This window comes from Homo sapiens, chromosome 1 (assembly GCF_000001405.40).
Source record: "Homo sapiens chromosome 1, GRCh38.p14 Primary Assembly".
Classification (NCBI taxonomy): domain Eukaryota; kingdom Metazoa; phylum Chordata; class Mammalia; order Primates; family Hominidae; genus Homo; species Homo sapiens.
Window position 1 is genome coordinate 145,844,667 of NC_000001.11, and position 20,946 is coordinate 145,865,612.

At 51.0% G+C, this 20,946-nt stretch overlaps 2 protein-coding genes and 1 non-coding gene across 7 annotated transcripts, besides 6 other annotated features; 1 reads left to right on the forward strand and 2 right to left on the reverse strand.

Moving 5' to 3' along the window:
• Nucleotides 38-167: an enhancer, noted in NCBI's record as "active region_1612". NCBI's record gives its function as "activates an Ori minimal core promoter by ATAC-STARR-seq in GM12878 lymphoblastoid cells {active_cell/tissue: GM12878}" and the evidence as "EXISTENCE:reporter gene assay evidence [ECO:0000049][PMID:35858748]".
• Nucleotides 948-1,317: an enhancer, noted in NCBI's record as "active region_1613". NCBI's record gives its function as "activates an Ori minimal core promoter by ATAC-STARR-seq in GM12878 lymphoblastoid cells {active_cell/tissue: GM12878}" and the evidence as "EXISTENCE:reporter gene assay evidence [ECO:0000049][PMID:35858748]".
• Nucleotides 964-4,288, forward strand: NUDT17 (nudix hydrolase 17). 5 transcript variants are annotated; one of them, NM_001012758.3, is made up of 8 exons: nt 964-1,166; nt 1,347-1,530; nt 1,767-1,792; nt 1,932-2,024; nt 2,584-2,682; nt 2,917-3,053; nt 3,446-3,598; nt 3,711-4,288. In NM_001012758.3, the coding sequence occupies exons 1-8, from the start codon at nt 975-977 to the stop codon at nt 3,811-3,813; spliced, it is 987 nt and encodes a 328-aa protein (NP_001012776.1). In that variant the 5' UTR covers nt 964-974; the 3' UTR covers nt 3,814-4,288. The 5 variants fall into 5 exon arrangements, 4 of the variants coding, with proteins under 4 accessions (NP_001012776.1, XP_047304603.1, XP_011507562.1 ...); XM_047448647.1 differs by lacking the exon at nt 3,711-4,288 and having other exon boundaries at nt 3,429-3,573; XM_011509260.3 differs by lacking the exons at nt 1,347-1,530; nt 1,767-1,792.
• Nucleotides 1,368-1,627: an enhancer, noted in NCBI's record as "active region_1614". NCBI's record gives its function as "activates an Ori minimal core promoter by ATAC-STARR-seq in GM12878 lymphoblastoid cells {active_cell/tissue: GM12878}" and the evidence as "EXISTENCE:reporter gene assay evidence [ECO:0000049][PMID:35858748]".
• PIAS3 (protein inhibitor of activated STAT 3) lies at nt 3,856-14,415 on the reverse strand. The gene is made up of 14 exons (NM_006099.3): nt 14,301-14,415; nt 11,923-12,340; nt 11,681-11,765; nt 11,402-11,452; nt 11,070-11,160; nt 10,080-10,214; nt 9,792-9,897; nt 9,147-9,220; nt 8,838-8,998; nt 6,354-6,487; nt 6,105-6,273; nt 5,787-5,920; nt 5,566-5,603; nt 3,856-5,046 (listed from the first exon to the last, which is right to left on the reverse strand). Exons 1-14 carry the CDS (start codon nt 14,322-14,324, stop codon nt 4,780-4,782), a joined length of 1,887 nt encoding a protein of 628 aa, NP_006090.2. The 5' UTR covers nt 14,325-14,415; the 3' UTR covers nt 3,856-4,779.
• Nucleotides 5,015-6,214: an enhancer, noted in NCBI's record as "CDK7 strongly-dependent group 2 enhancer chr1:145584188-145585387 (GRCh37/hg19 assembly coordinates)". NCBI's record gives its function as "activates an origin of replication core promoter dependent on BRD2, BRD4, P300/CBP, MED14 and CDK7 cofactors, with strong dependence on CDK7, by STARR-seq in HCT116 cells {active_cell/tissue: HCT116}" and the evidence as "EXISTENCE:reporter gene assay evidence [ECO:0000049][PMID:35650434]".
• Nucleotides 5,921-5,979, reverse strand: MIR6736 (microRNA 6736). Its single transcript, NR_106794.1, has one exon. It is a non-coding gene; the product is annotated as a microRNA 6736 (primary transcript).
• Nucleotides 14,452-14,541: a silencer, noted in NCBI's record as "silent region_1264". NCBI's record gives its function as "represses an Ori minimal core promoter by ATAC-STARR-seq in GM12878 lymphoblastoid cells {active_cell/tissue: GM12878}" and the evidence as "EXISTENCE:reporter gene assay evidence [ECO:0000049][PMID:35858748]".
• Nucleotides 15,012-15,221: a silencer, noted in NCBI's record as "silent region_1265". NCBI's record gives its function as "represses an Ori minimal core promoter by ATAC-STARR-seq in GM12878 lymphoblastoid cells {active_cell/tissue: GM12878}" and the evidence as "EXISTENCE:reporter gene assay evidence [ECO:0000049][PMID:35858748]".

The window sequence follows — 20,946 nt, forward strand, 5'->3', positions numbered from 1 at the left end:
AGTTGAAGCCAGGAGTTCAAGAACAGCCTGGGCAACAGTGAGATTTCATCGTTACAAAAAAATTTAAAAATTAGCCAGGTGTGGGTAGTGCACATCTGTAATCACAGCTACTCAGGAGGCTGAGACGGGAGAAGCGCTTGAACCAGGGAGGTGGAGGTTGCAGTGAGCTGAGATGGCGCCACTGCACTCCAGCCTGGGTGACAGAGCGAGACTCCGTCTCAAAAAAAAAAAAAGGCCGCGCGTGGTGGTGGGCGCCCTGTAATCCCAGCTACTACTTCGGAAGCTAAAGCACGAGAATCGCTTCAACCTGGGAGATGGAGGTTGCAGTGAGCTGGGATCACACCAGTGCACTCCTGTCTGGGCTGTAGAGTGAGACTCTCAAAACAAAACATCACTCTGGCAGCACTGTAGAGAATGAACTGGTAGGGGCAAGACTATTTGGAGACTTGCAATAATATTTCAGGCAAAATACGAGGAAGGCTTAAACTAGGGCAATGAATGAAGGCTGGAGAGAACATGGGTTTGAGGAAGTTTAAGGAGATAGCATCTGCATACTTGGTTGCCATTTGAGTGAAGTGAAAGGAGAAGTGGTATCGAAAATGTTATTTGGTGTGTTTCGCTTGGAGATAATTAATTCGAAGTGATGCCTGCTGTAACAGGTGTGCATAGTGCTGTAGAGGATGCTTACAGTTCAGCTTAGGGCTGGTTGGAAGTAACATGTGGGTCCTGAAGTCATTCGGTCTGGGGGTCATTGTCCTAAACAGAGAAGATAGGAAGGAATAGGAGCTGAGCATTTAGAGGTATTCTTCTTTGTGGTTTAATATTATACCCATGGGTCATCCTCAAAAGATGTGCCCTTATTTCCCCGGGGACTTTCGGAAACCCCGCTACGACCCCGCGGAACGTTCCGAGGGGAAGCTTCTCTAGGCCACCAGAGGGCGCCAGGCGGGCCGCAGCGACTCCAGAGTCGCGTTATGGCCGAGGTGCGGGTGCAGCTGCTCCTGTCCCGGCGTCCGGAGTCGGTGAGCTTCGCACGGAGTGTGTGTGGCCTCCTGGGAGCCGGACCAGGGCTCGGGACGTGGCCCATTCACTGCAGCTTGAAGCGAGGACGGCTTGTCCTCTCGAGCAGGCCCTTCCCAGGCGCCTCCGCTAGGCTTCCGCTCCAGGTCGGCAGAAGGGGGCCCCAGAGCGGGGGCAGTGAAGGGCCAAAGATGGGGACTGAAATCGGGTGGGAACTGGCGGCGAGGACCCCGCCCCCAACGCGCGGTGTAGCCCCATTTTTGGAAGTCACGCCCACCCAGTGCCGCCCTTCTGAAGCCTTAACCCAGCTGGCTTCCTTCTGCCAGCGACCCCCTTTCTGCCCTTTTGCGGCCCTGGAGGAGCGGCCCAGGGTCCCTGGGGCTGAGCTGCCCACAGATCGAGGTGTGGACCTGGGTGTGGCCGTCATTCTGCAGTCCAGCGACAAGACTGTCTTGCTAACCCGAAGGGCACGCACCCTGAGCGTTTCCCCCAACCTCTGGGTACCCCCGGGTGAGTATTCTGGGGACAAGGCCCCAAGTACAGAGAAGAAATTTGCCCTTTCCCCGCAACAATGTTTTTCCCAGTCTCAGAAGGATAAAGTGGGCCCCAAAATGTGGCATGTTCATAGTCACAAGGGACTGCAACTCCCTCTGTGTCCACTGGAGGGGAGAGGAGTGTCAACAGTGAGTGGGGGCTCCCTGGCCAAGACCACCACCATTCACCTACTGGCCCCACTGTTGTTGCAGGTGGGCACGTGGAACTTGAGGAGGAGGTAACCAGTCAGCTGATCCAACCTGAGCCAAGAGACCCATGCCTGGGACCATCTTGGGTGTGGGCTGAGGGAGAGGCAAGCAAAAGGACTTGGAAGAGTCAGGCACTGGCCCCTCTGATGTGTCTTCTCTGACTCCCAGCTGCTGGACGGAGGGCTTCGAGAACTTTGGGAGGAGAGTGGACTACACCTGCCCCAGGGCCAGTTCTCTTGGGTCCCTCTGGGTTTATGGGAGGTGAGACAAGTAGCTGGGAGAAGCTCCTCCATAGATCAGCCCCTACCTGCCTTGGCTACAAGGGAAACAATAGCACATAAGTGGGCTGGAATCCCCAAATCCATAACCCTCACCCATGTCCCTGCTGTGTCATCTGTACCATCCACGCCCTCAGCTTTTGGCCACCATTTTGTTTCACCCTAAAGCTGTATTAACAAAGTCTCAAAAAGTGACACAAAGGGCCGGGTGCGGTGGCTCACGCCTGTAATCCCAACACTTTGGGAGGCTGAGGTGGGCGGATCACCTGAGGTCAGAAGTTTGAGACCAGCCTGGACAACATGGCGAAACCCCGTCTCTACTAAAAATACAAAAATTTTAGCTGGGCGTGGCGGCAGGCGCCTGTAATCCCAGCTACTCTGGAGGCTGAGGCTGGAGAATTGCTTGAACCCAGGAGGCAGAGGTTGCAGTGAGCCAAGATCACGCCATTGCATGCCAGCCTGGGCGACAAGAGCGAAACTCCATCTTAAAAAAAAAAAAAAAGTGACGGAAAGTTCTCACTTTTGCTGTTTTCTTTTCCTAGTCTGCCTACCCTCCTAGGCTGAGCTGGGGTTTACCCAAATACCATCACATTGTTCTGTATCTACTCGTGATCTCCCAGGAATCACAGCAGCAGTTGCAGGTAGGGCTGGCAGTGAGGGAAGGAAACAGGGCTCAGGGGAGCCCAAGCAACCTGGTTCTGACTGTGATTAGGAGCTGGGCGGGGGTGGCGGGGGTAGTCAGAGATAACGAAGAATATGCAATGCCCTTTCCCCTTGCTCCTGCCTTTCTCCATGAAACCTGCGGGTAGGTTTTGATCACGAACAGGCAGCCCAGGGAGAGGCAATGACTGAGGGGTCACCATGTCTGACCCCAGGCCCGGATCCAACCAAACCCAAATGAGGTGAGCGCCCTTATGTGGCTGACACCAGATGTAGCTGCTGCAGTGGCTGCCGCAGAGGATGGGACAGAGACACCCGGACTTCTCCCCCAGGACCTACCACCCTCTGTCCTGTAAGTAAGAGCTTCTCCCTCAGCCTCTAATACACCAACATATTCATGTTGAGAAGTTCAGCGTCTATCCTGTCCTCAGGATGGAATTTTGTGTTGTGGGGGAGATTTAAGGAGAGTGGGTCAGCTGATAATTAAGAAGGTACATGAAATCTAAGACACTGACCATCAAACCCCAAAGATTCTTGCTCTAACTGGCTAGCATTGAAGGTCTAAGTGTCAGTTCTAACACAGGGGCAAGTCATTTAACCCTCCTTGAACCTGTTTCCTTTCTGCAAATGAGGTCAACACCCACCCACCTCCTGTGGTAGTTGGGAGGATTCGGGGACCTAACATATATGTAAGTTCTTTGTAAGCTACAAGGCACAGCCCCAACAGGAGTTGTCACCATGCAGTGCAGTGGAACTAGAGGAGGATGGAAGAGCCCGACCTCTGGTCCTGCACATGTCCACCCTCCTGCGGATGATCCCAACCATGGCAGAGGACAAAGAGAGAGTCAGCACTGGAACCAAGTTTGCCCTCAAGCTCTGGCTGCAACATCTGGGCAGGTAAAAGTGAAAAAGGACTGGAGAGCTCCACAGTACTGGGCTGGAATGGTCTAGTTTTTACAGGCACGGGGGAAAGCAGGAAAGGACAACCTCTCTTGGAATTCCTCCACAGAACACCCCCACCGTGTAAAAGTGCAGCTTACCTGGACCCAGGGCCAGCAAAGGAAGAATGGAACATGGACCCTCTTCCCCCAAACCAGGGGTCTGGAAAGTGAAGTGTAAAATCCCCTCCCTAGCCCATCTCCATGACACTCACAGAACATTCACAACCTTTATTATGGGTGAGAGCTTCACTACAACTTTAGAAATAAAAAGTAAAATTACAACATAGGTCCTAGGCCTTGGCGAGCCTGAAAAAGAAGATTGGGAAGGAGGGCACAGGGTCCTTCCACCTCCCTGGAAAGGTGCAGAATGAGCCAGGCCTAACTACAGGGCCATGAGCCTCTAGAAGCTTAGGGGGGAATAAGAAACACTGTGAACTTAGATATATAAATAGAGAGAGACCCAAGCAATAGGCCGGGCCTGACTCCCAGACCCCTGCAGATCATGGCTAAGGCCTTACATCCTCCTCTGTCATACTGGAGTAGGAGGCAGGGGAAGTCATCTTTGGAGTATTTTGGTTTTTCTTATTTATGTACAAAAAAGTCCACATCCACAATCCAAAATAAAGTTCTCTGTCCATCTCTGAAACTGCCTGTCTCAGTTTTTCCACCTGTCTGTTTGGCCGAAGGGAATGGAATAGACATGAAGAGACAATGGATGTGAAGAAGAAATAGAGCCATGGGTTTGGGTAATAAGAAGAGAGAGCATTTGGGGTTCAAGAGAGGTGCCCCTTCCCCAAGAGGCTCTAGACATAGTCAAGGCTGAGGGTTCAGCCCTTCTCCTAGCTCACATACCATCCCATTTGCCTCCCACTGCCTAGGTTAACATACCCAAAGGAATGTGCCACCATCTAAAGAACATTTCCAGAAACAGACCCCAGTGTCCTTAAAAAGAGGTTAAATATTAACCCTTTGGGTGCTGGCCTTGTCAGGCAGAGATGAGGCCAAAAGTAGGCATCTGTGAAGGTCTGTCTGGCCCTTGGCCAGAGCCCCCAGAGGGATCAGAGTAGCTGGGGTTGGGACTCCACAGCATACTTGCTCAGTGTTGGGGGACAGCGAAGTTTCCATAATCCAGGGAACTCAGTCCAGGGAAATGATGTCTGACCGACAGCCAGTCAAAGAGGGACCTGAGGGCAGGGGTCCTCCATGCCCCTCCCTCAAGGCCCCCCCAGGGGCCACAATGCTGCTGACACGGCCAGGAGGGGGCGCCGGAGTGGCGCTGCAGTGGGAGCTCCCCAGCGTGGGGGCCAGTGGGCCCAGAAAGTGAGAAGGGGTCCCTCGGTACTGGAAGAAGTGGCCAAGGGCATCCTGTTCATCTAGTGAGGTGATGACAGAGGGGCCATAGTGCTAGGAAGAATCAAGGGCATAGTTTAAGATCTCAATCCCGACTTCCCCACCTCCCAGTCACTCATCTCAGAAATGCCGTATGAGAGCAATCAACCCCTGTGGATCCGAAGGTATTCTCTTGAGAAGCAGGAGAGCCTCTCCCTCTTTCCCCTACTTCCCTACACCCTTCCCCTTTCCCTGCCTTGAGAGAGCTCCTCCAACTTGTTAGGTTCTTGGCTTTGTGGGCGTCTGAAATGTGTGGAATGTCCGGTTAGAGCAGGCATGGTGCTCTAAGTGCACACGGGGGTAGGGGTGAGTAGGCCAGGGCAGAAAAGTAACAGGGGATCTAGGAAGGAGGCCTAAGTAGGAATCTCAGGAACTACCAGTGGGGCTGAGGAGATAATAAGATACCTACACCCCACTGCCCTCACGGGAAAGCAGATTTACATCCCCAGAGATCATAAGAGAGGGAGGGGCCCCATCAGTGTCTAGAAAGGAAGCTTCAGAGATCTGAGACCTTCTGAAGAAAGAACCACTTACCTGACTCTCTGTCTGAAGAAATGAAAATAAATCTAAACCTGGCAGGAAAAGAAAAATCAAAATTAACCTCCTATCTGACCCCTTTACCACCAAAAGACAAAGCACTGTGGACTGTGGCCCCTTGCAGGAGAAGCAGGAGGCTTTGAGAAGGAACAGGGGTTCTGATGTAGCTCTGGGGAGGGTGTGGCAGTGCAGGGTCCATCTTATGACCCATGTCATACCTTGGATGTCGGCTCCCAGTGGGAAGGCAGGTGGGTACTCATGTAGTGGGAGACTGGACAGGAAATCCCCACCCAACGTGCCCATAGCAGGGCTCCTTAGCACCGAGGATGGCTGGTGGCCAGATGTCAGGACTCTGTGGGTAGAGAGGAGCTGAGGCAGCCAGCAAACCACAGATGCCCTCACCCAGCTCAGGTCCCCAGGTTCCCTCTCTGTCCCCTCCACATTTCTCTTGCCCCAGGCTTTGTCCAATGATCAGAAAGCAATCCTGACTTCTTCCCCTGTCCGTTTTGCTGTAGACTCAGCCTATTTTCTCATACCCTTTGCTTCCAGGTAGGGCCGGGATGGCAGCTGAGGTGACAGAACAGTGCTTCTTGGTAGGGGGCAGATCCTCCTCATCTGATGAGCTTTCTATTGTCAAGTCAATAACTTCGACCTTCTTCTTATTCTCTGATGGATCTCCCCCCTGGACTGGGCTGTACTGGAGGCCTGTGGGTATTAAGAAGACTACGTCTCAGAGAAGAGGCCATCCAAGATTTAGCTTAGCTGGGGAACAGGGGGTCACTCACCATCCAGCCCATACCCTGGCGGGGGGCAAACCTCAGATGCCTCCTTCTTGGGTTTCATTGGGCACCAGGATCCATCTTCCATGAATTGGATCTCATCACAATCTGAACAGGAACTAAGAATCTCCATAAATAAACTGGGGGAAGAGAGAGATGAAAATTCACGGGGCTGGGAGATGAGCAGAACAGTAGCCAGAGTTCTGTAACTCACCTTCCTGTATCTCAGTTTCCTCATCTGTAAAATAAGAACATTATCCATCCTACTGGACCGCTCTGAGTTGTTGGAATCAAATAACACAAGGTATGTAAAAGAGCTTTGCAAAGTAAGTAATAGGTTTTAAAATAAATACAATCTGAGGCTGGGTGCAGTGGCTCACGCCTTTAATCCCAGCACTTTGGGAGGTACAGGCAGGTGAATCACTTGAGGCTGGGAGTTCAAGACCAGCCTGGCCAACATGGTGAAACCTCATCTCTACTAAAAATACAAAAATTAGCCAGGTGTGGTGGCACATGCCTATAATCCCAGCTACTTAGGAGGCTGAGGCACGAGAATCGCTTGAACCCAGGAGGCAGAGGTTGCAGTGAGCCTAGACCACACCACTGTTCTCCACCCTGGGAAACAGAGCAAGGCTCTGCCTCAAAAAAAAAAAAAAAAAAAAAGCCGGCGTGGTGGCTCACGCCTATAATCACACTTTCAGAGACTGAGGTGGGTGGATCACCTGAGGTCAGGAGTTCGAGACCAGCCTGGCCAACATGGTGAAACCCCATCTCTACCAAAAATACAAAATTAGCCGGATGTGGCGGCACATGCCTGTAATCCCAGCTACTCAGGAGGCTGAGGCAGGAGAATTGCTTGAACCCAGGAGGCAGAGGTTGCATGAGCTGAGATCACGAGACTGTGCCATACCACTCCAGCCTGGGTGACAGAGTGAAACACCGTCTCAAAAAAAAAAAAAAAAAAAATCTGAGCACTTACGTGTAGTATAAGGAACAAAAGGAGCAGAGACACAGAAGTCCATAAACCATCTCCAAAAGGCACTGGGTCTTTGGCTTTCTAAACACTTGTGTAAAAATAAATAAATAAAGGCACTAGGGGCCAGGCATGGTAGCTCATGCCTGCAATCCTAGCACTTTGGGAGGCCAAGGTGGGAGGATCACTTGAGGCCAGGAGGTCGAGGCTGCAGTGAGCTATGATTGTGCTACTATACTCCAGTCTGGGCAACAGAACGAGACCCTGTCTCAAAAACAAACAAACAAACAAAAAGTGGGGGAGCACTGGGAACAGGAACCATAATGTAGATTCCAAAAAGAGGTTAAGACTAGCAAGATCAAAAGATTAGAACATCCAGGCCCTGAAAAGAACCTTATTGCAATGCTCAGTGGGAAGTCAGGTAGTTGTTATAGGTGATATATTATGACAGTTCAGTACACTGGCTCTGCCACTTAACAATATAACCTTGAGCAAGGCTCAATCTCTCTCGGCCTCAGTTTCCTCATGTGTAATGATACTACCTATCTCATAGGGTTTTTTTTTTTCTTTTTTTTTTTCTGGGTGAGTGTCACTAGCCAATCATAGGATTATTTCTTTTTTTGAGACAGGGTCTCAATCTGTTGCCCAGGCTGGGGTGCAGTAATGCAATCATAGCTCACTGCAGCCTCAAACTCCTGGGTTCAAGCCATCCTCCTGCCTCAGCCTCCTGAGCAGCTAAGACTACAGTCATGAGCTATTATAACATGCCTGGCTAATTTTTTTAATTTTTTATAGAGAGAGGGTCTACTATGTTGCCCAGGCTGGTCTCAAACTCCTAGCCTCAAATGATCTTCCCATCTCAGCCTTCCAGTGTTGGAATTACAGGTAGGAGCCGAGTCCATAGGGTTATTGTGAGGATTCAATGAGATAACTCATGCAAAGTGCTCAGCAAGATGCCTTGTATATACTAAGTCCTTAATGTTGCCCTCCCCCTCCACACACATGCACATACACACACACACACACAGACTGGTAAAAGGGATAGATAAGGTGAGAATTGCAGTTCATGTGAGGGGAAGTAAGCCATATGAATTAAAAACCCTGAAGGAGGTGGTGGCTAAAAGAAAAAAGAAATATTATAGGCTGGGCATGTTGTCTCATGCCTGTAATCCCAGCACTTTAGGAGGCTGAAGTGGGCAGATCACCTGAGGTCAGGAGTTCAAGACCAGCCTGGCCAACATGGTGAAACCCAGTCTTTACTAAAAATACAAAAATTAGCCAGGCATGGTGGTGGGTGCCTGTAATCCCAGCTACTCAGGAGGCTGAGGCAGGAGTATCGCCTGAACCCGGGAGGTGGAGGTTGCAGTGAGCCAAGATTGTGCCACTGCACTCCAGCCTGGGGAACAGAGTAAGATTCCATCTCAAAAAAAAAAAAAAGAAAAGAAAAAGAAAAAGAAATAACCAAGAAAAGAGGTTCTAGTGGATGTCCTAGGTAAGAGGAAGCAAAATGGCCCTACCCATCAATGATAAGAGATTCATAGGGAGCCTTCTTGTCACACACAGGACATGTCCATGTAGGCTTCTTCTCATTCATCTGTAGATAAAGGGCAGCATCGAAGCTCTGCAGGTGGGCGCAGGTGAGGGCACGACAAGGGACAGTCAGGCGCATCTTCCCTAGCTGAGGAGAAGCAAGTTCTCTTGTCAGAGGCCCTACTCTGATTTCATCCCAGAAAACTTCACGCCAGTATCCCTAGGAACCCTCATCAAAGTCCACAGGCTAAACCCAACTCCCTTCCCACCCTGTTCCCTTCTCCCCTTTTACCCACCGGGCACATGAGTGACACCCGGAGACTTGTAGTGGCCACCTCACTGTCAGGGTCAGCAGTCAATTTCTCCTTGACTGAAACAAAAGTGAGGCCAGAGCCATGGGGTCAGCAAGGCTGGAGGAAGCCCAGGAGTTGGTAAGGCCAGGAACAGATGGCTCTGGCTGAGAGGCTGCTGGGTGGAGCGTCTTTGGGGGCCAGTGGGACGTCACATGGAAGTGGTCTGGGATATGGATGATGAAGGCTGGGTGTGGGGGATTTTCCCATCCCTGAAGATGCTTAAACATAGCGTGACACTCTGGCTATGTTAGAGATGATCTGGAGGAGTTGAAGCATCATGTGAGGGTTAGATTAGAGGACCCCTAAGATTCTTTCCAGTCCGGAGAGCCCATATTCTAGCAGGGCTGGAGTTAGGGACTGTGAGGTGCAAAGCAGATACATGATTGGAAATTCAAGGGTGCCTGGGAGTGGTCCAACTTCAACTATAAAGACTGGAAGACTGGTCAGGGGTAGAGGGGGAGGGTTGGGGTTCATGTGAGAAGGGGAGTAAGTTGTCAAAAAAGAGGTATGGGTTTAATTATGAAGGCTGGAGGGCCAGGAAGACTTGAATCCAGATCAGGTGGGGAAGAGAGGAAAGATGTTACTCACTCAGTGCCCGCGAGTGGTCTGGGTTCCGGATACCCTTTGCTCTGAGTTTTTGTAGAAGGGTTCCTGCAGTCAACTGCCTCACCAGGTACACAGACAAGGAGTAATTCTACTTGGAGGCAGGGGGTAGACAATTAGCCTCTGCTTCTCATACCACCACTGCCCACTTTTGTTCCATGAGGACCAGAGACAGACTCATAAAGAGGAAAATGCTTCCCCAACCCAGGACACTGGATGGTTCCCCTTCACCCTCAGCAGGCTTTTCCAGGCACCTGCTTTAGCTGTGCTCACCCGTCCGAACTCAGATGACCAATTGACCACAATGGTGTTGGGAACAGTGGCTGAGAGTCGAGCCAGGGGTGTGATGTTGATGGGGCGGCTGGGCCTCTTGGGCTCGGCCCCATTCTTGGTTGGGGGAAGGTAACCCTGGAGAAGGGAGGGATTGGTCAGTGGAGAAGTGGCTCTGGGAAGGGGCTCTGCTCTTTGAACAAAAGATATCTTGTCTCGGGTTATTCAATCCCTGGAGGGAAGGCCAACTCGCTCACTCACTGACCAAGGGGATGGAGGCCCATTCAGTGGCTCACAAAACTGGAGCACTGTCTAGGGTTATGTGTGGGGTTCACTCCTGGGGAGAAAGGAGAGCTTATTTATTGACTGAGAAAAAAGGAACTCACTGAGTCCCTGAGGAGGAGGAATAAGGATGCCTCACCTTTTCTAACTCTCAGCTCTGGGGTCAAGTCTTTCTGGCCGGGTGTACTGGCTCATGCCTGTAATCCCAGCACTTTAGGAAGCCGAGGTGGGTGGATCACCTGAGGTCAGGAGTTCGAGACCAGCCTAGCTAACATGGTAAAACTCCGTCTCTACTAAAAATACAAAAATTAGCCGGGCAGGGTGGTGGGCACCTGTAATCCCAGCTACTTGGGAGGCTGAGGCAAGAGAATTGCTTGAACTAGGGAGGCAGAGGTTGCAGTGAGCAGAGATTGCACCATTGCACTCCAGCCTGAGTGACAGAGCGAGTGACTCTGTCTCAAAAAAAAAAAACAAAAAAGAAGTCTTTCTTACATCTCGGGTTGAACTAATGTCCTCCTCCGAGTTCTCACAAAACCTTTGTTCAGCCCTATCTTAATACTCTCGAGATTCTATTGATTCAGTCAGTAAACTGAGCACCTACTATGTGCCACGCACTGTGCTAGGCATGTCTCTTTCAGAATAGGTTTGTAGTTAATATTTATGAACTGAAACGGTAAGGGATTACTGACAGAAGAAGGGGAGAGCATTTACCGGCAGGGGGCACAGTTTCCCATTGACCTTGACAAAGAGGTTGGGGGGAAAATAATCTTCCTGGGGGCAGCTGGTCTCACAGAGACAGAACCTGGTAAGAGATGAGAAAGGAAGAAAGAGTGGGAAGAAATTTCTTAACTTGAATCTGGCAGAGAGACAGGGAACCCCAGAAAATCAGTCATAGATGCCTGAAGCCCTCAGCATCCAACAAGAGTCGCAGGGCTGCAGTAGGCAGTGGCAGAGCAGGGACATCTCGTAAGGGTATCTGTCATACCCCTACTTCACTCCTACCCCCAGTGGGTACCCAGGATAGGCAGGGAGGATGAACTCACCTTAGCTGCACCTGTATGGTATAATCACATTTGGCTCCTGGCAGAACCTCTCTGTAACAGGGAGGGAGATGAAGAGATGTCAGCATGTAGCCCCCAGAGGGCAAGGGTGAATGCACAGAAAGGCTGAAAGTCAGATGTCCAGGAGATAGAGAAGAGACACACAGAAGAACAAGAGACAAGTAGGTATAGGAGGAGGGATAGGGAAGAGCACAGGGCAGAAGAGAAGAAAGTCAGAAAGCAGAGACCAGGGATGAGGCAGGAAGACTGGAAGAGATGTACCTGGATGTAAGAATCTGCTGCACTTGCTGGGGTGTGAGGGCAAAGGTAAAGTGCGCTTCCTCAAACCGCTGGCTAGAAGTGGATGCTGAGGATACAAAGGGGCAGTTATTCCAAGCCCATGCACAGGCAGCCACAGAAATCGCCCCCATCCCAGGTCACTGATCCCATAGGACTAAAGCCTAAGAAATGTTTGGGGAACAGGTAGGGAGTCCAGAAGACTAAGGGACCACAAAGAGCCATACCAAGGGTGGTGGGCCGGATGAGCTCCCCATAGACTTCATAGAAGGGCAATGGTTTCATGGTGACATCAGGGTGCACAGGCTGGGGCAGAGGGGGGTGCATGTCCACCTCACGCTTGGGGCCCAGCAGGGTGCCAGGGGCCAACAGCGTTGGGGGAATGGGAGCTAGAGGACCAGGGGAGCCTACAGGAGAGGTGCCAGGGGGCAAAGAGAGAAGGGAGAGATCAGAGGGCCCCAGGGTCTTCCGGGGAAAGCGTCGTCGGTAAAGCTCTTTGATCTTCATCTGGACACTAGGGGCACAGCTGGACTTCAGGAGGTGCAGAGCCTTGGCCAGGAGCTCGTGCTTCCGTCCACTCTTGTTCCGGCCAGCAAAGCCAAGAAGCACCTGGAGCTCAGACACCCGGAAACTCATCACCATGTGCTGTGGAGAAAAACAGAGAAGCTTGAGCATCCTCCCTTGCACAGGCCTGCCCTGCCAAGACATGGGCTGAGCTACCAGGTGGGCAGTGCCTTTCTCTCCAGCACTGATGGGAAAGATGATGCTTCGCAGCTAGTGGATTACTGCCAGGTAGTCGACCTATCCAAAGGGACATCTCAGTCCCACTTTAGCAACCATCAGGTCAGCATCATCACCACCACCCCCGAGCTTGAGCAACACTATTTCCCCAGGCCTGGAAGCAGCCAGAGTGGGGCAGGGAATGGCAGACAGCAAGCCACCCTCAGACACACCTCCGAGTCCATGCAGCCTCCCGCCTCCATCCCTGGACTCTGCTTTAAGCTGCTTATCTCCTCTCTTGCCCTTTCTCAGACTCTCAAACCCATCCCAGCCTCCTGGGAACAGGATAGGAGACAGGGAGAAGGAGGGAGAGACAAGAGGATTCAAGCCAGACAGCCCCACGGGAAGAAAGGGGCTAGGTGGCTGGAGGATTGTGCCCTTCAGCCCACCCCTCCCAACCACCTTAATTCACCTCAGCTATTTCCCCCAAGCCTCTGAAGCTTCTGTGGCCAGGGTTTTCAGGTCAGGGTTCAATGCTCATAACTTCCCCAGATCCTTTCTTGGAATCGTTTATATAACCACCCCCTCCCCACAACTTAGTCCTATTTTTCTGGAAGGGAAACAGGACCAAAACTTGGGTCGGGGAGATTAACAGTGAATCACTGAGTCCAAGTATCCTGCCTGTTTACTCTATCTGCCAGGAACCATAATCTGGCATCTCTCCTACACAGAGAAATTAATACTCCTCTACAACTTACAGCGCCCCCCTATAGGGGTGGAAGAGGAGAGGGCAGAGCTCTAAACAGAGACCCTGGGTGGATGAAGGAAAAGCCTCTGAGTCAGGGCACAGAATCGCAAATCCCCTGAAGGTAGCTGGGCCCAGTGGCTAGACCTCCAGCCTTCCCAGGACCATAGCTCCCATTTCAAAGGGCAGAAGAAAACCAGGAGGCAGGCGGATGAACTCGGTAGTTTGAGGTTCTATGAGATGTCCTCAGATGTGGTCACCCTCCAAACTCTATGTAGCAGGAGGGGAGCGCTCTCCTTAGAAGACTCCCTTCTGTGAATCTCTAGGAGATCCTGTCATGTGCAGGGCTTGCTAGCCCTACACAATTCTTCTCATAGGAGGCTTTGTCTTGGACCCCTTTTATGGAATGTGATGAGAAACTTGCTCCTCTTTCTCCCCATCCTTATCTCCTCTGTCCTGTCTTTTTTTCTCCATTAGCTTCCCCTATAACTTCCCACCTTTCTATCCCATAGTTTCACATGCCTCTGCCTCTTCCCAAACACCGCGATTCACTACGGCAGGACCTTCCTCTGAGCCTCCAGGATGCTTCTGCCCCACCCCTCGAGGTATCGGCCCGCACAGCCCCGCCCCCTGCATCTCAGCAGCCTACTGGTATTTCCCAAAGCTCGGATCCCGAGAGTAGCCCCAAAGACCCTATCCTCTCAGCTGCCTTTCCCCCGGAGCCTCCCCTACGTCTGCCCCGCGGTCCCATCCCTGCATGTGCCCCCTACTGTTGCATCTCTTGGCCTTGATCGACTCGCCCCCAGTGCCTCTACAGCACCTTTTCCCCCTGGCCCTACCCCAACAACCGCCCCTACTACTAAATCCGACTTCTACCCCTCGTCCCCGCCCCCTGCGCCTCAGCCCCCAACAGCTGCAATTCCCCTCGGCCCCACCCCTACATCTGCCCCGCAGCCCCGCCCCCGGAGCCCCGCCGCAGCCCCTTCCTCGCTCTCAGCTACTTCTCTCCCATCCTCAGCAGCTCGTGCCTGCCACGTCGTCGGCGCCCACCCGAGCCCCGGCACCCAGTCTCGGTCGCTTCCCGGACACGGCGTACCGCCGGGCTGAGTCCAGATGGGGATGGGGGGAGGGGGCCGGTACCTTTAATTCGCCCAGCTCCGCCATCTTGAGACATCGCAGGCGCCCCAGCCGGAGCCGGAGCTCAGGCCCAGGGACCGGCGCACAACTCTCCACCCTGGCGCCGGCCGCAAATGCCGCCTGCTCCGCCCAGTCCGGCCCCCTATACCTCCCCTTCCCGGCCCCGCCCGCCTGGCTTCGGACAAGCCCCAGCCTGAGCCCCTCCCTCCACAGCCGACCCAGCAGCTACACGTCTGCGGCCGGTTGGCAGGACGCGTAGCCCCGGAGGGAGTGTATGGCCCCCAAGATCGCGGGGTCCCTAGGGCAACGGGGAGGAGGCGGGCCCGAAGTGCCTGGTGGAGGGGGGCTTTGCCACGGCAGAGTTGGGAGGGGACAAGCTTTTAGGGAGCCAAAGATACTTGAAAGATGGAGGGAAAGTATCGGGAACTGCTAGAGCTCAGAGAAATGGGGGAGGGGGTAGCGAAGTTGGAGCGCAAACCCTCATCTCCATCTCTGCATAAGTTTAATCAACTAAAATCGAGAGGTCTTCCAACTCGGGAAATGGGCGAGCGCTGATCCGTCTTAGGGAAGCCGTGGAGTCGGCATTCAGTAATTCACCCTCTCCTCCTCCCCCATACACCAACTACAGTGCAGCTCGTGGTCCGATCGTAGGACTCAAACTCGGCAGCAAAAAAAAGTTTGGTGCGGGGAGCGGGACTTACCAGCACAATTGTGGGAAATGGAGAGAGGGCTCGGGAGGCTCAGAGGGCGAGCTGGAGAGGTGGGGGAATGGGGCTCGGCGCTGCTCCTGCTGTCCGCACGGCAGAAGTTCGGTCCAGCAGCCGGACGCGGCGGCCGCGGCTCCGCCCGGGCCGGAGCTCCGCCCGGCCTAGCGCTCGGGCTGGGGCCGCCCCCTCCAGGGGAAGCCCGCCAGGACCGCCAAGAGGGAAGGGGGGCGGAGCTCGGGCGAGAGAGGGAGGGACTCAGAGCTCGACGTTGGAGAGATTAACTCCTGGTGTGAGTGGATCTGGAGAGACGAGATCCTTGGATCCCATCATTCTCACTACCTCTGTGACCCCTCAACGCTTACGTATGGGATTGGGGTGGTGGCACACTGCTGCTAAGCCGGTGTGAACCAGGTATCTGACAGTATAAAGCAGTCTTCCTTGAAATGACAACTGTCCCTCCCTAGGGCAAAGCCTGGGGTACTGAATCCAAAGTGTACCTAACAGTAACTACCCTAGATACACGTGCAGAATACCTCCACCAGAGCCCCCATACCTTTGGTGTAGCTGAAGATGAACAGAGGGGTTTTCTTACCCACAAAAGGGATCTTTCTGTCCCTCTCTGAACTGCCTACCCACTCTCCTTCCTCCAAAGCCTTGGACCCTCCAGAGGCCCCATCCCAACCAAGCTGATCACTCACATGCAGGCACCAAATTAAATCTGTTTCTGTATCCATGGAAATACCTATTTTTTTATTTTTTTGGGGGGGGACCAAGTCTCACTCTGTCACCCAGGCTGGAGTGCAGTGGCGCGACTTGGCTCACTGCAACCTCCGCCCCCCGGGTTCAAGCAATTCTCCTACCTCAGCCTCCCGAATAGCTGAGATTACAGGCCTGCGTCACCACGCCCGGCTAATTTTGTATTTTTAGTGGAGACAGGGTTTCACCATATTGGCCAGGCTGGTCTCAAACTCCTGACCTCGTGATGCGCCCGCCTCACCTTGGCCTCCCAAAGTGCTGGGATTACAGGCGTGAGCCGCCGCGCCTGACCCAGAAAATACCAACTTAAGGGAAATGTACCCGCACTACATACTGAGAAACTCACAGCATTTTATAGTTGGCTGCAATTTGTTCAATAAATATTTGAGTGCTTATCAGGGATCATTAGGTGCTGAGGACATAAAAGCCTTGCAGGAGTTCACAGTCTAGCAGCAGAGACAAGACATGTTAAACCTATAATCAGCACACCAAAAAAGGGCTTTAATAAATAGGAAAAATCCTTTTATTTAGCTTAAGCCTTCAGTATAATCCTCCTCATAAGACCCTACCCAGGCCAAAGATTGAAGGTGCCAGTTGAACTGGAACTAGGCCCAGTTACTTTGTGGTTTTTGTCCCTAGGGAAGATGCCACCCTCTCCTAACACTCAGGTTCTTTCCTTGCTGCTTTGCTACCCAAATTGGTGAGCGCTTCAAGCTAAACTCAGACTCAACTAGTTCTAAATTCCAGCTGCTCCCTTCCAACACCTGAGTCTTCATCAGGTCCTGAGATCTTTTTTGCTGTTGTTCTGTTCAGTCCTCTAGATCAAAAGTTACTATAGTTTGTATTTCTAAGAATTTTCAGTAGTTGCAGGATGAGGAAGGTAGGGAGGATTATTAAAAAGAGACAAAGCGGGGATCTTTCGGAAGTGATGGATATGTTCATTATCTCGATTGTGTAATGGTTTTATGGGTGTATATGCATATGAAAACACATCAAATTGTATACTTCAAATACATGCATTTTACATGGAGAGACATATTGACGTATATCAGTTGTACGTCAATAAAGCTGTAAATGGCCGGGCGCGGTGGCTCACGCTTGTAATCCCAGCACTTTGGGAGGCCGAGGCGGGCGGATCACGAGGTCAGGAGATCGAGACCACGGTAAAACCCTGTCTCTACTAAAAATACAAAAAATTAGCCGGGCGTGGTGGCAGGCGCCTGTAGTCCCAGCTACTCGGAGAGGTTGAGGCAGGAGAATGGCGTGAACCCGGGAGGCGGAGCTTGCAGTGAGCCGAGATCGCGCCACTGCACTCCAGCCTGGGCGACAGAGACTCTGTCTCAAAAAAATAAAATAAAATAAAATAAAAAATAAGTAAAGCTGTAAATGCTGGGCACGGTGGCTCACGCCTGTAATCCCAGCACTTTGGGAGGCTGAAGTGGGCGGATCACCTGAGGTCGGGAGTTCGAGACTAGCCTGGTCAACATGGAGAAACGCTGTCTCTACTAAAAATACAAAAAAGTTAGCCAGGCGTGGCAGCGCACGCCTGTAATTTCAGCTACTCAGGAGGATGAGGCAGGAGAACTGCTTGAACCCAGGAGGCAGAGGTTGCAGTGAGCCGAGACTGCACCACTGCACTCCAGCCTGGCACAGACCAAGACTCCATCTCTAGATAAATAAATAAATAAATAAATAAATAAATAAATAAATAAAGCTGTAAACATTTAAGAGAAAACCTCACCTTGAGTTCTAGTGATTTCATGAAGGAAGAATCTCCTTTAAAAGTTAATTTGGGCCAGGTACGGTGGCTCACGCCTGTAATCCCAGCACTTTGGGAGGCCGAGGTGGGCGGATCATGAGGTTGGGAGATCGAGACCATTTTGGCCAACACAGTGAAACCCCGTCTCTACTAAAATACAAAAAATTCGCCGGGCGTGGTGGCGTGTGCCTGTAATCCCAGCTACTTGGGAGTCTGAGGCAGGGGAATTGCTTGAACCCGGGAGGCTGAGGTTGCAGTGAGCTGAGATCGTGCCACTGCACTCCAGCCTGGCGACAGAGCAAGACTCCGTCTCAAAAAACAAACAAACAAACGAAAAAAGTTAATTTGAAGGCCAGGCATGGTGGCTCACGCCTGTAATCCCAACATTTTGGGAGGCCGAGGCAGGCAGATCACTTGAGGTCAGGAGTTCAAGACCAGCCTGGCCAACATAGTGAAACCCCATCTCTACTAAAAATACAAAACTTAGCCAGGTGTGGTGGCGCATGCCTGTAGTCCCAGCTACTTGGGAGGCTGAGGTGGGAGAATCACTCGAACCAGGGAGGCAGAGATTACAGTGAGCTGAGATCACACCACTGCACTCCAGCCTGGGTGACAGAGCAATAATACATCTAAAAAAAATTAATTTGAGGTTACTAAAGTTATTGAAAGAGAGAAAAAATAAATTGGAAAAAAGTTAATTTGAGGTTATAAGTTCTAGCATCCCTACAGGATGACGGAACCGGGGAACCTGAATCTTATCCTGCATGCAAGCTCCAAAAGGATAAGAAGGTTTTCTGTGCTGCCTCTACTCTATTCCCAGTGCCTGACAAATAGTAGACTCCTTAAATATCTGTTTAATAAATTAATGTTACCAAAGGAGGGAAACTGTGAATCAGAAGCAAAGTTCCAGATTGAAGGCATTCAAAAACATAGTCTGAACCTGATCATGGCCCATCGGGTTTCACCTACTTTCACCCACATACTCCTACATCTCAAGCCTGGGGAATGGGGTGGGGAGATGAAGCAGGAATCATAAGTCCCTGCTAAGTCCCATTAGAGAGCCCAGGAGGAATAAAGGGAACATTAGGATTATAGCTACTTTGGGGAAAAAAATTTATGAACTCAAGAAAAATTTTAAGACTGGGGCTGTTGAGGTAAGTTTGTGGAGTTTTAGGGAGGGAGACTGGGAAAACCAGGGGCTAAGGAAGTTTCTACTCCTGTGTTAACATTAACATCACTCACCACTCCCATAGCTCAGCCCATCCTGGAATCAGTTTCCAGGAGCCCCGGAGGGAGCCAAAGTCCTGGCTTCCATTACCAAAGCTGCTTCCTGACTCATTCTTGAGTTTAGCCCAATGATCTCCCCCTTTCTGGACCCTTCTCTCTACAGTTTCTTCATTCTCCCCACCCCACACGTCATATATAACAAGAAATGTAATAGTCCTTTAATATACATTGGTAATTGAGAGCAGGAAGGCAAGGAGAGGTTCTGTTCCCCTTGATAGAAATGACTCAGACCCTTTTGATGATCTTTCTTCAATAGCTGCACCTCTTCCCCCTTTCTCCATCAATCCCTCCTTTTTCCATTTTCCTGGCCGTAAAGCAGTCCCGTGCCCATCCACGTAAAACCTCTGCACCTTCTCTAGGATCTGATCCAGATATCTCAGATGCTCTTTTTCACTCTTGGCCAAACTCTGGAGCTGGCCTCTGCAGCCCTTGTGTAGCCCCCTGTCTTCCATGGCAGCCCCTCCCCACTCTTTTTTCTCAACCCAGCCTCTTTACTGCCAAAACTGCTGCTGTCTGACCCAGTGTAACCAAGCAGAGGGTGGACTGAGAGAAGGAATGGGGAGGGATCAGCGTGCGGGCCACCAAACTGCAATTCCAGATTTTAGAGGAATTCACTGCCTCATTTTCACCTAACAGCATGCCTGGTGGAAGGGCAGGCAGAGGAGGAGACCCAGGGGAAGTGGCCAAGAGAGATACATTTTTTTTTTCAGTCTGAGAATGGAATCACAGGCAAAAATGAAACTTGGGTATCCCTTCATCCTCTACCCAGGAATCAGACTTTTCATCCCTTTTGTCACCTGGGACAAAGAACAGTGAGACCATGTGTGTCAAATATAGACACATTGTTTAACACTTGATAAAATACTTTAGAAAGTATATCCTGAAGAAAATCCAGGTCTCTCAATCTCCCCTTAAAAAAAAAAAAAAAAAAAAATCATGGATTCAACAGTCCCAAGGCAGAGAAAAAAGATTAGAGCTGTGACAGATTCGAGAAAGTGGAAAGGAAGAGTGTCAAACCCCATTTTCACTGAGGGCTATTTTTCAAACCGTGGGTCTTGACCCATTAGTGGATGCATTTTGATGGAGTATATTAGCAAAGAATAGAAGAGAAATAGTAAAGTATTATTCGAGCTATGTATACACAAGATACAAAATGTATTTCTTGGCCAGATGCAGTGGCTCATACCTGTAATCCCAGTACTTAGGGAGGAGAATCACTTGAGGACAGGAGTTTGAGACCAGCCTGGCCAACATGGCAAAACCCTGTGTCTTCAAAAAGTACAAAACTTAGCCACGCATGGTGGTGCACGCCTATAATTCCAGCTACTCAGGAGGCTGAGGCATGAGAATACCTTGAACCCAGGAGGCAGAGGATGCAGTGAGCTGAGATCACACCACTGCACTCCAGCCTGGGTGACAGAGTGAGACTCTGCCTCAAAAAAATTTTTTTTTATTTCTTACTAGGGATCAAAAAGTTTGAAAGTTGCTGACTTATAGGGCCATTTGTGAATTTCATTCAAAAACAAATTAAATAATTGCCAAGGCCAGGCATGGTGGCTCAAGCCTGTAATCCTAGCACTTTGGGAGGCAGAGGTGGGTGGATCACCTGAGGTCAGGAGTTCAAGACTGCTTGGCCAACATGGTGAAACCCCGTCTCTACTAAAAATAGAAAAAAATTAGCTGGATGTGGTGTCATGCACTTGTAATCCCAGCTACTCGGGAGGCTGAAGCAGGAGAATCGCATGAACCCAGGAGGCGGCGGTTGCAGTGAGCTGAGACTGCCCTACTGCACTCCAGCCTGAGTGATAGAGTGAGACTCTGCTAAAAAAAAAAAAAAAAAAAAAAAGTGCCAAAGCTTGGAAACAATCAAGATGTCCTTCAGTAGGTGAATGGATAAATAAATTGTGACACATTCAGACAATGGAATATTATTCGGTACTAAAAATAAGTGAGTTATCAAGCCATGGAAAGACATGGAGGAAATTTAAATGTATATTACTAACTCAAAGAAACCAGTCTGAAAAGGATACATACTGTATAATTCCAACTAAGCACAACTGGGGATGGGAGAAAGATCAGTGGTTGCCAGGGGTTAGCAGGGATGGGGAGATGAGCAGACAGAGCAAAGAGGATTCTTAGG

What these genes read in the sequence shown, in the direction of transcription:
- NUDT17 (NM_001012758.3), top strand. Translation starts at nt 975, where the DNA reads ATGGCCGAGGTGCGGGTGCAGCTGCTCCTGTCCCGGCGTCCGGAGTCG. An exon ending in AATCACAGCAGCAGTTGCAG is followed by an intron (nt 2,683 to 2,916) that starts GTAGGGCTGGCA and finishes GTCTGACCCCAG; the next exon opens with GCCCGGATCCAACCAAACCC. An exon ending in GACCTACCACCCTCTGTCCT is followed by an intron (nt 3,054 to 3,445) that starts GTAAGTAAGAGC and finishes GTCACCATGCAG; the next exon opens with TGCAGTGGAACTAGAGGAGG.
- PIAS3 (NM_006099.3), bottom strand. Translation starts at nt 14,324, where the DNA reads ATGGCGGAGCTGGGCGAATTAAAG. An exon ending in CATCCGGCCCACCACCCTTG is followed by an intron (nt 11,766 to 11,922) that starts GTATGGCTCTTT and finishes TTGTATCCTCAG; the next exon opens with CATCCACTTCTAGCCAGCGG. An exon ending in ACCATACAGGTGCAGCTAAG is followed by an intron (nt 11,161 to 11,401) that starts GTGAGTTCATCC and finishes ATCTCTTACCAG; the next exon opens with GTTCTGTCTCTGTGAGACCA.